Source organism: Homo sapiens, chromosome 10 (genome assembly GCF_000001405.40).
Source record: "Homo sapiens chromosome 10, GRCh38.p14 Primary Assembly".
Lineage (NCBI taxonomy): Eukaryota > Metazoa > Chordata > Mammalia > Primates > Hominidae > Homo > Homo sapiens.
This window is the reverse complement of record NC_000010.11, coordinates 91,299,581-91,315,439: the sequence shown is the minus strand read 5'-3', so window position 1 is coordinate 91,315,439 and position 15,859 is coordinate 91,299,581. Positions and strand designations below refer to the sequence as shown.

The window sequence follows — 15,859 nt, the reverse complement described above, 5'->3', positions numbered from 1 at the left end:
AAACTTCTAGATTTATTGTTAGAAGGCAAGTCAAAGCACATAATAAATGACACTATCTATAATTGTACGGTGAACATGTGCAATTGTACATGATGGCTCATAAGTTGCCTGAGTGACTTATCTGTTAGTGAGTTTGAGTAACTGAGTAGGTGTAACTCATTCTCTTCATCCTTATTTATTTGGGATCTGCCTTTCTGCAGGGACATTTTCCATGTTGTAAATTTTACAAGGGAGTCCCCATCTCTTCTGCAGGCCTACAGATTTCCAGTTCTGCTTGTGATTGAGCTGGTGAGTTTAATTCTGGGGTGCAATATTAGAAAGCCCTCTGTTGCCATATAGCTAAACCTCATTCTCCAACTAGATTGCTCCTTTAGGGCTTCATCTGTGTTATTTCTGAGTCTCTTTCTTAACCAATTCTGAACTTGGGCAGAGAAAAAGAGAGCCATATTACTGAACCTTTAAATCCCCAACTTTTATCATTTATTGAGCAACTACTATGTGCCAGGCTCTCTGATCACATCATCTCATTTAATCTTCACTATGCCTGTGAGTTTTACATTGCTATCCCCATTTTGCAGAAGATTTGGGGCCAGGGACATTCAGTGAATATCAATAAGGGGCGGAGCTGGAATTTAAGTGCACAGCCTTCTGATTTCAAAATTTGCAGCAGTTTCCAAACAATTTCTACAAATAAAAGATTTCAAATCCATCATGAGAAACAGGAAACAGATAAGATGCTTTGGGTTGTTGTGTGGGTGGGGTCTCAGAGTTCCACTCATCTCATTTCCCCACCCTTCCTTCTCTGTGGCAACCCTGAGTTGTGTTCCTATGGCTTTTCTAAGCATAGTTTGCAATACACTGCGTTTCTGGATTTCTAAGGGATCTTTCCAACAAGATCGCTCAAGCAGGGGGCTTCCAAGAATTGGTGTACAGTTCTCAGTTCTCAGTCCCAAGTAGAGCTAGAGGTATACTTAGAAGAAGTCACTCCTAATAATCAGATCCTTGCCTGTGTGTGCTTAGACATGAGCTGCCCTGGTCCTGGCCTGCCAGGCTGTGAGGAAAGATGAGATGTGATGCAGCTCAGCTCTTTGAACTACCCCGAAGGCCAGCCCACTCCTTCCCACATGTGGGGAGTGCTGAGGGCTGAACAGAAAAGAGCAGGGTCTGCAAGGAAGGAGACAGCCTCTAGAAGGCTCTTCATTACGCTGAAGGACAGCCACACGTGGATGGGGCACATTTCCAATGGAAAGGAGTACAAAGCAAGGAAGAACAAATGGTCACATGTACAATTATTTCCTTTTGTGCAAGTGAAAGGTCTAATTTACAAATCCTGCAAACCATACTGACTGTGGAAAGATTTGGCCATATGGAAAAGTTTCCTACTGTTGCCTTGGCTGGAGAACATTTGTAGTTTAGACTGATTGTCAGAGATTAGTCACGGGGATGTACAACATGAAGTCAGCCTTGCTCCCCTACGTGGGGGCAGAGCTAGCTTCAATCACAAGTTGTTTCTGTGAATGTTTACTCCCTCATTTCCTCTCAGAGGAGAATAGTTTCTGAGCCTTTCTAGTAACCAAGTCTTTGTTCAGTAACTAAGAAACATCACTTTGTAGAAGCCTCTAATAATTATCCTCATGACGCTCATCTTAACAGGTGTTACACTGCTTGCCTTAATTAAGCAGAGGCTGCTTTCATTCCAGAAAGCTTTTATGATTTTAATTTACATTCTGATGGATGCTACATGTGCAGGCTCTGAAAGTTTTTTGTTCTTTTTTTTTTTTTTTTCTGAGTTGGAGTCTCACTCTTGTCCAGGCTGGAGTTCAATGGCGCGATCTCAGTTCACTGCAACCTCCACCTCCCAGGTGCAAGTGATTCTCCTGCCTCATCCTCCCAAGTAGCTGGGATTACTGGCATGTGCCACCATGCCCAGCTAATTTTGTATTTTTAGTAGAGACAGTGTTCCCCATGTTGGCCAGGCTGGTCTTGAACTCCTGACCTCAGGTAATCCATCCACCTCGGCCTCCCAAAGTGCTGGGATTATAGGTGTGAGCCACTGCGCCCAGCCTGTTTTCATTTATGGAGTAAGACACTCACTGATGAATGGTCCTATGCTTGTATGTCTTTGTATATGCTTGGTCTGAAAATTGACAAAGGGCTCAACAGCCCCATTCAAGAGTAGAGAAGAAAAATTCAGGGTTTTTCTACAGTGGTAATACCCAGAGGCAATTGGTCCAGTTATTATTAATGTGTAGTGAATGTCCCCATTATTTAGCAGCTTAAGACAATTATTGTATTTTGAGAGTCAGGTTTAGAAACAGTTTGACAGTTCTCACTGTCTCTCATGTGGTTGCAGTCAGATATTGGCTGGGGTTGCAGTCACCTGAAGGTTTGACTGAGCTGGATGTCCAAGGTGGCTCATGCACATGGCTGATAGTTGACACTGGCTGGGTTTTTTTTTTTTTTTTTTTTGCTTTTTAACTTTAATTTTTTGTAGAGATGGGGTTCTGCCATGTTGACCAGGTCAGTCTTAAACTCCTGATCTCAAGTGATACCCATCATGACAGCCTCTCAGAGTGTTGGTATCACAGCATGAGCCATTGTGCCCAACACTGGCTGTTGACTGGTTCAGCTGGGACTGTTGACCAGAGGCCCACAAACACATGGCACCTCCAGCACAGCAATCCCATGGTCCTAGGATAGTCCAAGTTCTTAGATGGTGGCAGAGGCAGGCTCTCCTAGATTGAGCACCCTAAGAGAATCAGGTAGAAGCAGCATGGCCTTTGCTGACAGCCTCAGAAGTTATGCCACATCACTTCCATTGCTTTCCATTGGCTACAGCTGAGTCACAAGATAGGCCAGAAGTCAAGGGGAAAACATATAGTTGACCTGTCTCGATGAGAAGCTTATCAAAGAATTTCACTTACTATGTGCATTCTCCCAGATGACTGAGCCCAGAGATAAGACTTTTCCCCTTTGCCGCTTTTCTAGCTAAATAGTAGATTTTCCCTGTCTTTTCCCTTATTTGTCCAGTACTGAAGAAAGGAACTTTATCCAGTATACATTTTTTACCTTTAAATTCTCAGTTAAAGAGAAGGAAAGATGCATCTCTGTTGTTTATTCATTGATTTGACAAATGTGTGTTATTTATAAATGGGTGTCTCCCTCCAACAAACTCATGACACAGCACAGAAAGACAGAAAGCCATGTGTTTTTAGTAATTCTATCTCCATGTGTGCAACTTGCAATAATAGCTACTATATGAGTGCTAAGAACAATGTTATAGGAATTGGAAGGCAGTGGTTATTTCTGAGATTGGAGGGAGGAGAAAGGAAAGGCAGCTTTTAAGGAGCCTCATTGGAGTCAGTCATTGCAGTGTTTGGGGGCTGGATCTCACAGACACCTGGCTTAGAATCAGGTATTTGAAGTGGAGGAAGAAAAATGTAGAAAGAGATTTATTCTGGAATTTTTAACTTTCTGCCTTATGCCTAGAGCTCTGCCTGGGAGAAAGTGGATATTAATAAATGCTATTTGACAAGCAAGACTCAAAGTCTAATGAAACTATAAACTATTTCAAAATTACAAACATCTGGCTTCCCCATGTGTTCCTTGTCAGTAAACTGCAAATAACTTAATGTGACCAGCAAAATATTCAAAGCCAAGGCTGTCTGAGCTGCTCAGTGGCCATGTCTTTTTCATGTATTCATCTATGCAGTAAGTAGTTATTGAGCACTGGCCATGTGTCAGGAATGTACTAATAGGGATAAATTGGTGAGCATGATATATTGCATCAACCTTGGTTTTGGAACATGGTTCTGTTTTGTTCAACTATGCTGAACTTGTATAAAGGGAATTGATTAACATTCAACTCAAAACTAAATGGGAGTACTCCTTTCTGGGAGGGAAGTTGATATGGCTTAGATATCATCAAACCTACACATGGTGAGAATTATACCATCAGAACCACATAGTGAAGCCCCAGATGCTGGTGTTAGTGCTGGTGTTTGTGCAGCATGTTGCCAGATTAGAATTTTGACTTTGAATAAGAGTGCAGAGATCAGAAGGATCAATGGTGAACCCTTCCTCATATTTTCTCCCAGTGTCATAGAGGAAAATCAATTGGCTATTAATGGAAAACTGAAGACAAGCTACTGCCTTAAACCAAACTTTAACTGGCACTGTCCCTAATGAACAGAACTTCATATTATGTTTTTTAAAAGTTAAAAATCTCAATGAACAAAGACATCTTCTTTTTTTTTTTTTTTTTTTTTGGAGATGGAGTCTCACTCTGTTGCCCAGGCTGGAGTGCAGTGGAATGGTTTCGGCTCACTGCAACCTCTGCCTCCCGGGTTCAAGTGATTCTCCTGCCTCAGCCTCCTGAGTAGCTGGGATTACAAGCATGTGCCACCATGCCCAGCTAATTTTTGTATTTTTAGTAGAGACGGGGTTTTGCCATGTTGGCCAGGCTGGTCTCGAACCCCTGACCTCAGGTGATACACCTTGGCCTCCCAAAGTGCTAGGATTACAGGAATGAGCCACCATGCCTAGCCAGACAAAGACATTTTCAATGCTGTATTCCCTTTAGTTCTTCTCATCAAAATGATATGATCCTCCCCGTGTAAGCTGTATATCCTGATCTATTTTCAGATTTATATTTTATATTGTTTGCTGTGATTCATCTTGTTTTCAAAATACATATTCAAATCTCTTTTTAAAAGTATGTTTACTTATGAGGAAAAGAGCCTCCCTTCCCTGTAGATCCTAAAAGAATTTCTGGAAAGGTGATGTAGGCAGAGGGAAACTGGAGTTTACACATGTATATAATAGAGAAAATGTGAAACTGGGTGTGATAGTTCCTGACTTCAGCTGGTGGTCAACTCCTTCATTTCTCTCTAAATGTAGCTCTTATGTATTTTATAACAGTAAAAGCCATATTTCAAAATTTCTGAGTCTGTAGCTTTTGGTTATTTTGTCACAAGTTGGACTTTGGGACTCTGCTCTTGTGCCTATAGACACTGTAGGGTTAGAGGTATTGGTAGGAAAATTGGGGATATTGGCACATGCTCGTTATTGCTTGAAGCCTTTGAGAAAGGGATAGTCTAAGAGGCAAGTTTAGGTGAAAAGTGACATGCCTGAATGCAGAAAGGGAAGACAGTTGAGTTTTGCTAATACAGACTCCTCCTGCCCATAACCTAGAATCTAAATCGATTTGAAGGCCATAGTTTGGAGATTTTCAAGCTTGCAAATCCCAATTTTGTACAAAATTGATATCCTTCTCCTACTCACCTCCCAAAAGGTAGAGAAAAAAGAAATTTCTCCGGAGATATGACTGATAAAATTGGGACAAAAGCAAATCTGATTCCCCATGCCTCTCCTTAATATCCCTCACCACACATCCTTTGTAAGACAGGAGGCACTATCTAGCTTAGGTGCACCCAGGAGGGCTGGGGTCACAGGTGACATCACCCCTCCCCTGCTTCACACCCTCTTCCACCACATGGCTTTTGTTACCAGTTGCCTCAAGGTGGAAGCCATTAAACTTCGTGCTTGAAGGTGGGAAAATCATAGAGACATGTGGGGAGGAGGAGGGATTGTGGCTCTCACAGGCCTCGTTCAGACAAGATGACTGGCCATTATCGGTGCCTGGACCTGACCAGAAGTGAATTTCAAACTGATAAAAGTCTGGAACAATTCAAGCCCTATTGTCCTGAGGCCATAGAATCTGTATCTACTGGAAGTGAGCTGTTAAATCTGGCAGCATCCAGGAGGGCATCTTCTTCAACGCTTACCCCAGAAATGGCCATGGAAGACAATGGGCAAGGGAGGCTCCAGTGGAGTGGAACTAGGGACGTCCATGGGGCTGACAGAGAAACTCACTCGATTCCTGGGTCATGGAACTAGTATTTGCTATTGATGTCCTTCAGGAAATAACATGTGCTATGGATCAGTGATGACAGTCACTTTTCTGAATGAAAGGTTTTATTGGGTTTATCTTGTTTTTTTCTTGATGAGACTTTAGGTTCTTTTCACCCTTGGAAGGACTATGTGCATTTTGTGGAAGTATGAGCACTTTTTGAACAATGTATGGAAGCTAGGAAGTCAAAGAGGTAGACTGTGGAAGATAATGGTTGGGTAGTTTTTAGCCCAATAATCTTTCTCCCTGTCTCCCTTGCCAGAAGAGCCATTGTTTTGTTTGAAAGTCACTCAGGCAAGGGGACTGTATTCCTCATTTTAGGGATAAACACTGTTGTTATATGCCAAGTATGGTAATCTCATTCCCTTTGCCAGTGGTTGATTTTTCCAACGGACCTGGATATAATTCTGGCTGATAAGAAGTGGTAGGTTTCTAAGAATTGGGGTTCGTGATTTGCATTCTAATTCTTACAGAGGGTAAAGAAGAAAAACTACAGGTGTTGATGGAATTTATATTCAGAATCTGTATCTCAAGGCAAGTGAAGAAAGGTCTACTAGAACAGCCCTGGGAATAAATTACTGTTTGCTTGCTTGGTAAAAATTAGAATAGTATTGTTTTCCAAAAATTATGTACAAATTGCAGTAAGGCATTATTTGTCTTTAGAGTCATTGAATGCTATTTGCTGAAATAAACAATATGCAGTCTGATTAAGTTTTTTGAAAGGGTCACTTTTAAGGACAGCTGCAGCATGCTTTTCTTTCAGAAGCTCTGTTCTGCGCAAGGGCAGGAGGTGGGTCATTTGTTTTTCCTACTTCATAAGGAGGAAGCAGCCCGTGCCCTCACTTGAGCTGAGCAGCATAAGAAGAATCTCAATGAAGCCTCCAACTTAATAAGATCAGTTTCTCTCTTCTGCAAAGTTCCAGGCAGCTTGTATGATTTAGATATTTTACCATCAGGATCAATAGATCATCAGGAGAACAAATAGCTACTTCTACTATGTTTCTATTATTGATTTCTAGCCTACTTTAAGAAAAATAACATTTAAATACAAAGCTGGGGATACTACTCAGCAATAAGGATGGACTACAGCCCCATGCAACAACATGGATGCATCTTACCAATGAGAAAGAAGCCAGACATGAAAGAGAACATCCTGTATGATTCCTTAAAGTTCAGAAACAGGCAAAATGTTCTATGATGTCAGAAGTCAGGAGCATGGCTACCCTGAGGTGAGGGGATACTGACTGGGAGGGTTGCTAGATATCTTCTGATTCTTTTATGTTTTTTTGTTTTGTTTTGAGACAGGGTCTTGCTCTGTTACTCAGGCTGGAGTGGAGTGGCATGACCATGGCTCACTGCAGCCTCAACCTCCTGAGCTCCAGTGATCCTCCTGCCTAAGCCTCCTGAGTAGCTGGGACTAATGGCAGGCATCACCATGCCCAGCTATTTTTCATTTTTATTTTTAGTAGAGACGAGGTCCTGCTATGTTGTCCAGGCTGATCTTGAACTCCTGGGTGGGCTCAAGTGATCCTCCCACCTTGGCTTCCCAAAATGCTGTGCTTACAGGTATAAGCCATCATGCCCAGCCTGTTCTGATTCTTAATCTGGGTGTTGGTTTTACAGGTATGTGTATTTTGTGAGAAGTTATGATTGTGCAGTTTTTTAAATATGTATCTTATCATTCAATTAAAAGTTTGCCAAAAAACTACAAAACTGACCCTTAAAGGGTATCTGGTAAAATTCATGTGTTTAAGAAAGACATGAGGTGACAGAAACCAGAATGTCAGAGCTATTGGTGGACTTCCCCCTTTGTATTCATTTTAGTCACCCTAAAGCTGTTCAAACACTTGTTTTGGTTAGGGCCATGGTTACAAGTGACAGAATCAAATCCCAATTAGCTTCATCTCAAAGGGGAATTGATTTGAGCCACAAAAATCTAAAAGAAAATGTTGAAAAACCAAGTATGGGAAAGAGTGGGGATGCAGATGGGCTTCACGAATAACTAGAGCCAAGTTACTGAGGTGCATGAGGAGGCTCCCCTCATTCCTCCTGTGCTGTGTGTGTGTTGCCAGCTTCCTTCTCTTTCCTTGCAGACTGGATCACTCCATGTCAGTGGAAACATGTCCACCAACTTCATCATTGTCTGTTGTCATGGTTCACTTTAGATGTAAACTTGACTGGATTAAGGATTCCCTAAAGTGTCAGGCCTCTGAGCCCAAGCTAAGCCATCATATCCCCTGTGACCTGCATGTACACATCCAGATGGCCGGTTCCTGCCTTAACTGACGACATTCCACCACAAAAGAAGTGAAAATGGCCTGTTCCTGCCTTAACTGATGACATTATCTTGTGAAATTCCTTCTCCTGGCTCATCCTGGCTCCAAAGCTCCCCCACTGAGCACCTTGTGACCCCCACTCCTGCCCACCAGAGAACAACCCCCTTTGACTGTAATTTTCCTTTACCTTCCCAAATCTTATAAAATGGCCCCACCCCATCTCCCTTTGCTGACTTTCTTTTCAGACTCAGCCCTCCTGCAACCAGTTGATTAAAAGCTTTATTGCTCACACAAAGCCTGTTTGGTGGTCTCTTCACACGGATGCAAGTGAAATTTGGTGCCGTGACTTGGATTGGGGGACCTCCCTTGGGAGATCAGTCCCCTGTCCTCCTGCTCTTTGCTCCGTGAAAAAGATTCACCTACAACCTCGGGTCCTCAGACCCACCAGCCCAAGGAACATCTTACCAATTTTAAATTGGGTAAGCAGCCTCTTCTTACTCTCTTCTCCAACCTATCTCACTATCCCTCAGCCACTTTCTCCTTTCAATCTTGGCGCCACCCTTCAATCTCTCCCTTCTCTTAATTTCAGTTCCTTTCCTTTTCTGGTAGAGACAGGAGACGCACTTTATCCATGGACCCAAAACTCTGGCGCCGGTCATGGACTCGGGAAGACAGTCTTCCCTTGGTGTTTAATCACACAGGGACACCTGCCTGATTATTCACCCACGTTTCAGAGGTGTTTGACCACAAGGGGATGCCTGCCTTGGTCCTTGACCCTTAGCAGCAAGTACCTCTTTTCTGGGGGGCAAGAACCTCCCAGCCCCTTCTCCTTCACCCTTAGCGGCAAGTAGTGCTTTTCTAGGGGGCAAGAACCCCCCAACCCCTTCTCTCCATGTCTGTACCCCTTCTCTGCTTTTCTGGGGGCAAGAACCTCCCAATCCCTTATTTCCACACCCCAACCTCTTATCTCTGCACCCCGATCCCTTATTTCCACGCCCCGAACTCTTATCTCTGCACCCCGATCCCTTTTTTCTGCACCCCGACCTCTTATCTCTGTGCCCTGATTCCTTATTTCCACGCCCCGACCTCTTATCTCTGTGCCCTGATCCTTTATTTCCACACCCTGACCTCTTATCTCTGCACCCCAACCCCTTATTTCCATGCCCCAACCCCTTTCCTGCTTTTCTGGGGGGTAAGAATCCCCAAACCCCTTCTCTCCATGTCTCTACTCTCTCTTTTCTCTGGGCTTGCCTCCTTCACTATAGGCAACCTTCCACCCTCCATTCCTCCTTCTTCTCCCTTAGCCTGTGTTCTCAAGAACTTAAAACCTCAACTCACACCTGACCTAAAACCTAAATGCCTTATTTTCTTCTGCAATGCTGCTTGACCCCAGTACAAACTCGACAGTGGTTCCAAATAGCCAGAAAATGGCACTTTCAATTTTTCCATCCTACAAGATCTAAATAATTCTTGTCATAAAATAGGCAAAAGGTCTGAGGTGCCTGACATCCAGGCATTCTTTTACACATTGTTCCCTCCCTAGTCTCTGTTCCCAATGCGACTCGTCCCAAATCGTCCTTCTTTCCCTCCCGCCTGTCCCCTCAGTCCCAACCCCAAGTGTCGCTGAGTCTTTCTAATCTTCCTTTCTAAAGACCCATCTGACTTCTCCCCTCCTCACCAGGCCCAGCCAGGTCCCAATTCTTCCTCAGCCTCTGCTCCCCCATCCTATAATCCTTTTATCACCTCCCCTCCTCAGACCCTGTCTAGCTTACAGTTTCCTTCCTGGACTAGCCTTCCCCCACCTGTCCAGCAATTTCCTCTTAAAAAGGTGGCTGGAGCTAAAGGCATAGTCAAGTTTAATGCTCCTTTTTCTTTATCTGACGTCTCCCAAAATCAGTTAGTGTTTAGGCTGTTTTTAATCAAATATGAAAAACCCAGCCCAGTTCATGGCTCGTTTGGCAGCAACCCTGAGATGCTTTACCGCCCTAGACCCTGAAAGGTCAGAAAGCCGTCTTATTCTCAATATGCATTTTATTGTATTACCCAATCTGCTCCCAACATGAAATAAAGCTCCAAAAATTAAATCCCAGCCCTCAAACCCCACACAGGACTTAATTAATCTCACCTTCAAGGTGTACAATAATAGAGTAGAGGCAGCCAAGTAGCAATGTTATTTCTGAGTTGCAATTCCTTGCCTCCACTGTGAGACAAACCCCAGCCACATCACCAGCACACGAGAACTCCAAATGCCTGAACTGCAGCTGCCAGGGGTTCCTCCAGAACCTCCTCCCCCAGGAGCTTGCTACAAGTGCCAGAAATCTGGCCACTGGGCCAAGGAATGCCCACAGCCTGGGATTCCTCCTAAGCCATGTCCCATCTATGCGGGACCCCACTGAAAATCGGACTGTTCAACTCACCTGGCAGCCACTTCCAGAGCCCCTGGAACTCTGGCCCAAGGCTCTCTGACTGACTCTTTCCCAGATCTTCTCGGCTTAGCAGCTGAAGACTGACACTGCCTGATTGCCTCAGAAGCCTACAGGACCATCACAGATGCTCTAGGTAACTCTCACAGTGGAGGGTAAGTCTGTCCCCTTCTTAATCAATACAGAGGCTACCCACTCCACATTACCTCCTTTTCAAGGGCCTGTTTCCCTTGCCTCCATAACTGTTGTGGGTATTGACGGCCAGGCTTCTAAACCTCTTAAAACTCCCCAACTCTGGTGCCAACTTAGACAATACTCTTTTAAGCACTCCTTTTTAGTTATCTCCACCTGCCCAGTTCCCTTATTAGGCCGAGATACTTTAACTAAATTATCTGCTTCCCTGACTATTCCTGGACTACAGCTGCATCTCATTGCTGCCCTTCTCCCAACCCAAAGCCTCAGTTGTGTACAAGCCTTACAAGTTAGTTCAGGATCTGCGCCTTATCAACCAAATTGTTTTGCCTATCCACCCCGTGGTGCCAACCCATATACTCTCCTATCCTCAATACCTGCCTCTACAATCCATTATTCTGTTCTGGATCTCAAACATGCTTTCTTTACTATTCCTTTGCACCCTTCATACCCAGCCTCTCTTCGCTTTCACTTGGACTGACCCTGACACCCATCAGGCTCAGCAAATTACCTGGGCTGTACTGCCACAAGTCTTCACAGACAGCCCCCATTCCTTCAGTCAAGCCCATATTTCATCTTCATCTGTTACCTATCTCGGCATAATTCTCATAAAAACACACGTGCTCTCCCTGCTGATCGTGTTCGACTAATCTCCCAAACCTGAATCCCTTCTACAAAACAACAACTCCTTTCCTTCCTAGGCATGGTTAGTGCGGTCAGAATTCTTACACAAGAGCCAGGACCGCACCCTGTAGCCTTTCTGTCCAAACAACTTGACCTTACTGTTTTAGCCTAGCCCTCACGTCTGCATGCAGCAGCTGCTGCTGCTTTAATACTTTTAGAGGCCCTAAAAATCACAAACTATGCTCAGCTCACTCTCTACAGTTCTCAAACCTTCCAAAATCTATTTTCTTCCTCATACCTGATGCATATACTTTCTGCTTCCCGGCTCCTTCAGCTATACTCTTTGTTGAGTCTCCCACAATTACCATTGTTCCTGGCACGGACTTCAATCTGGCCTCCCACATTATTCTGGATACCACACCTGACCCTCATGACTGTATCTCTCTGATCCACCTGACATTCACCCCATTTCCCCATATTTCCTTATTTCCTGTTCCTCACCCTGATCACATTTAGTTTATTGATGGCAGTTCCACCAGGCCTAATCGTCACTCACCAGCAAAGGCAGGCTATGCTACAGTATCTTCCACATCTATCATTGAGGCTACTGCTCTGACCCCCTCCACTACCTCTCAGCAAGCCGAACTCATTGCCTTAAGTCAAGCCCTCACTCTTGCAAAAGGACTAAATGTCAATATTTATACTGACTCTAAATATGCCTTCCATATCCTGCACCACTGTGCAAGAGATTTCCTCACTACACAAAGGTCCTCTATCATTAATGCCTCTTTAATAAAAACGCTTCTCAAAGCTGCTTTACTTCCAGAGGAAGCTGGAGTCATTCACTGCAAAGGTCATCAAAGGGCATCAGATCCCATCGCTCAGGACAATGCTTACGCTGATAAGATAGCTAAAAAAGCAGCTAGCATTCCAACTTATATCCCTCACTTTCAGTTTTTCTCCTTCTCATCTGGCCACTCCCACCTACTTCCCCACTGAAACTTCCACCTATCAATCTCTTCCCACACAAGGCAAATGGTTCTTAGATCAAGGAAAATATTTCCTTCCAGCCTCACAGGCCCATCCTATTCTGTCGTCATTTCATAACCTCTTCCATGTAGGTTACAAGCCACTAGCCCGTCTCTTAGAACCTCTCATTTCTTTTCCATCATGGAAATCTATCCTCAAGGAAATCACTTCTCAGTGTTCCATCTGCTATTCTACTACCCCTCAGGGATTGTTCAGGCCTCCTCCCTTTCCCACACATCAAGCTCAGGGATTTGTCCCTGCCCAGGACTGGCAAATTGGCTTTATTCAACATGCCCTGAGTCAGGAAACTAAAATACCTCTTGGTCTGGGTAGACACTTTCACTGGATGGCCTTTCCTACAGGGTCTGAGAAGGCCACTGCGGTCATTTCTTCCCGTCTGTCAGACATAATTATTCGGTTTGGCCTTCCCACCTCTACGGTCCGATAGTGGACCGGCCTTTATTAGTCAAATCAGCCAAGCAGTTTTTCAGGCTGTTGGTATTCAGTGAAACCTTTATATCCCTTACAGTCCTCAGTCTTCAGGCAGCCACCAACTTAAAAAGGACTGGACAATACTTTTACCTCTTTCTTTTCTCAGAATTCAGGCCTGTCCTCGAAATGCTACAGGTATAGCCCATTTGAGCTCCTGTATGGATGCTCCGTTTTATTAGGCCCCAGTCTCATTCCAGACACCAGACCAACTTGGACTGTGCCCCAAAAAACTTGTCATCCCTACTATCTTCTGTCTAGTCATACTCCTATTCACCGTTCTCAACTACTCATACATGCCCTGCTCTTGTTTACACTGCCGGTTTACACTGTTTCTCCAAGTCATCACAGCTGATATCTCCTGGTGCTATCCCCAAACTGCCACTCTTAACTCTTAAAGTAAATAAATAATCTTTGCTGGCAGGACTATGCTGACCCTCCTTAGGCACTCTCTAATCAGATGTCCTGAGTCCTCCCAATTCTTAGACCTTTAATACCTGTTTTCTCCTTCTCTTTTTCCGTTTAGTTTTTCAATTCATACAAAACCATATTCAGGCCATCACCAAGAATTCTAAATGACAAATGTTTCTTCTAACAGTCCCACAATATCACCCCTTACCACAAAATCTTCCTTCAGCTTAATCTCTCCCACTCTAGGTTCCCACACCGCCCCTAATCCCACTCAAAGCAGCCCTGAGAAATATCTCTCCATACCATCCCCCCAAATTTTTGCCATCCCAACACTTTACCACTATTTCATTTTATTTTTCTTATTAATATAACAAGACAGGAATGTCAGGCCTCTGAGCCCAAGCTAAGCCATCATATCCCCTGTGACCTGCACGTACACATCCAGATGGCCTGTTCTTGCCTTAACTGATGACATTATCTTGTGAAATTCCTTCTCCTGGCTCATCCTGGCTCAAAAGCTCCCCTACTGAGCACCCTGTGACCCCCACACCTGCCTGCCAGAGAACAACCCCCTTTGTAATTTTCCTTTACCTACCCAAATCTTATAAAACAGCCCCACCCCATCTCCCTTTGCTGACTCTCTTTTCGGACTCAGCCCGCCTGCACCCAGCTGATTAAAAGCTTTATTGCTCACACAAAGCCTGTTTGGTGGTCTCTTCACATGGACACGAGTGAAATAAAGAACAGGTAAATAAATGATTATTTCTGAGTATGTCATGGAGGCTGTTTCCAGAGGAGATTGCCATGTGAGTCAATGGACTGAGTGGGGAAGATCTGCCCTCAATGTGGGCAGGCACCATCCAATCAGCTGGGTACCTGAATAGAACAAAAAGGTGAGTTCCTCTCTCTCTCTCCTGGATTTGGGGTATACTTTTCTTCTGTCCCTTGGACATCAGAACTCCAAGCTCCAACTTTTAGGCTCTAAAACTTACCACACTCCTCCACCCCACCCCAAGTTCTCAGGCCTTCAGCTTCGGACTGAGAATTACACCACCTGCTTCCCTAGTTCCAAGGCCTTTGAACTTAGACTGAGCCATGCTACCAGCATCCCAGGGTCTCCAGCTCGCAGACAACCTGTCTTAGCCAATTCCCCTAATAAATTCCTTTTTATCTATCTATCTATCTATCTATCTATCTATCTATCTATCTATCTTCTATCTTCCCTCTCTCTCTCTCTGTAGACACACACACACACACACACACACACACACACACACACACTATTGGTCCCATATCTATGGAGAACCCTAATACTGAACCTTCCAGCTTCAGTCACCATAGGGAGATTGCTCAGTGTCAAGTCCAAAAAATTCTAACCAAAGGAGTCAAGAGTCAGTAGCCCACTTTGGATTGAGTGCCAGTTAGGTTGATGGGTCATGTACTATATACAGAGAGAGAGAGAGAAAGAGAGAGAGAGCTCCTGTGAGAAATACGGATGGGAAAGGTGGCAGTTTCTAGAAAAACAAGTATGTGAGTGTGGAGGAGACAATCCTATAGATCTCCATCCACTCTAACAATTAGCCTATTGTTTCCATAGTAAAATGGAATTTTATAAACATTAATGTCATAGAACCCATGATTCAACATTCAACCATTTGCAAATATTTTCCATTCTTTGCAAAAGCAATATCATTGGCAAGGCTAGCACAGGCTAGGTGTGGTTGTGATTTTCTTTTTGGTTGCTGTGCCAGAGGGACCCTTGCTTTTCAGGATTCCCAAGGATTAGAGCTTCCATGTGTCGAAGGTAAGGACAGAGTAAACAGGATGCATAATTCTTAGGCAGCATGAATGGCTGCAAAAAGGCCTTGAGGTTTCATCAGCCAGCATTTCTGAAGCATCTCCTATGCAGCAAGCATTCTGTAAGGTGATGCCCTCAGCAGTAGGCTGGTACCTCAATAAATATTTATGCAATAAATATTTGCTGAATGGAATATGTGTGTGGCATTTAGTGACCTTTGGTTCATTCTTGCTGAAGAGCCCAGCAGCTTCTCACATGCAAATGATGCCACAGTCACCCAAGCCCCTGTCACCACTGCAAACACAGACAGCTGCACCTTGGAAGATGGGAACCTGAAACATTTTCATGGGCTTACTTAGTTGATGGAGGTGATGGTGAAGGTGGGAGTGGAAGCTGTGGAGGTGTGGCAATTGAGAACACTGGGTCTCAAACTGTAGCATGTATTCAAATCACCTGGAAGGCTTGTTAAAACAGATTCCTGGGCTCTGCCCTAGTAGGTCCTTGGCAGGCCTGAGAATTTGCATTTCTAACAAGTTCCCAGGTAATACTGATGCTGCCGGCTGACTTTGAGAACCACAGAGCTATCAGAGTGGCCCTTCTCAAGCCTGGCTACACATTAAAAATCACCTGGTAGCCCCCTCCCCACTACCCTAGCAGAGACCAACTAGATGAGAATCTCTGGGAATTGGTCTGAGGTTATGTCTCA

General features: G+C 44.2%; 1 long non-coding RNA gene across 1 annotated transcript in view; it reads left to right on the top strand.

The window, feature by feature from the left end:
• HECTD2-AS1 (HECTD2 antisense RNA 1) overlaps nucleotides 1–8,478 on the top strand; it is a 304,499-nt gene extending 296,021 nt beyond the window's left edge. Inside the window, exon 5 of the long non-coding RNA NR_024467.1 lies at nucleotides 8,005–8,478. This is a non-coding gene — a long non-coding RNA (HECTD2 antisense RNA 1). The remainder of the gene's footprint in view (nucleotides 1–8,004) is intronic.
• The last annotated feature ends 7,381 nt before the right edge of the window (nucleotides 8,479–15,859 follow it).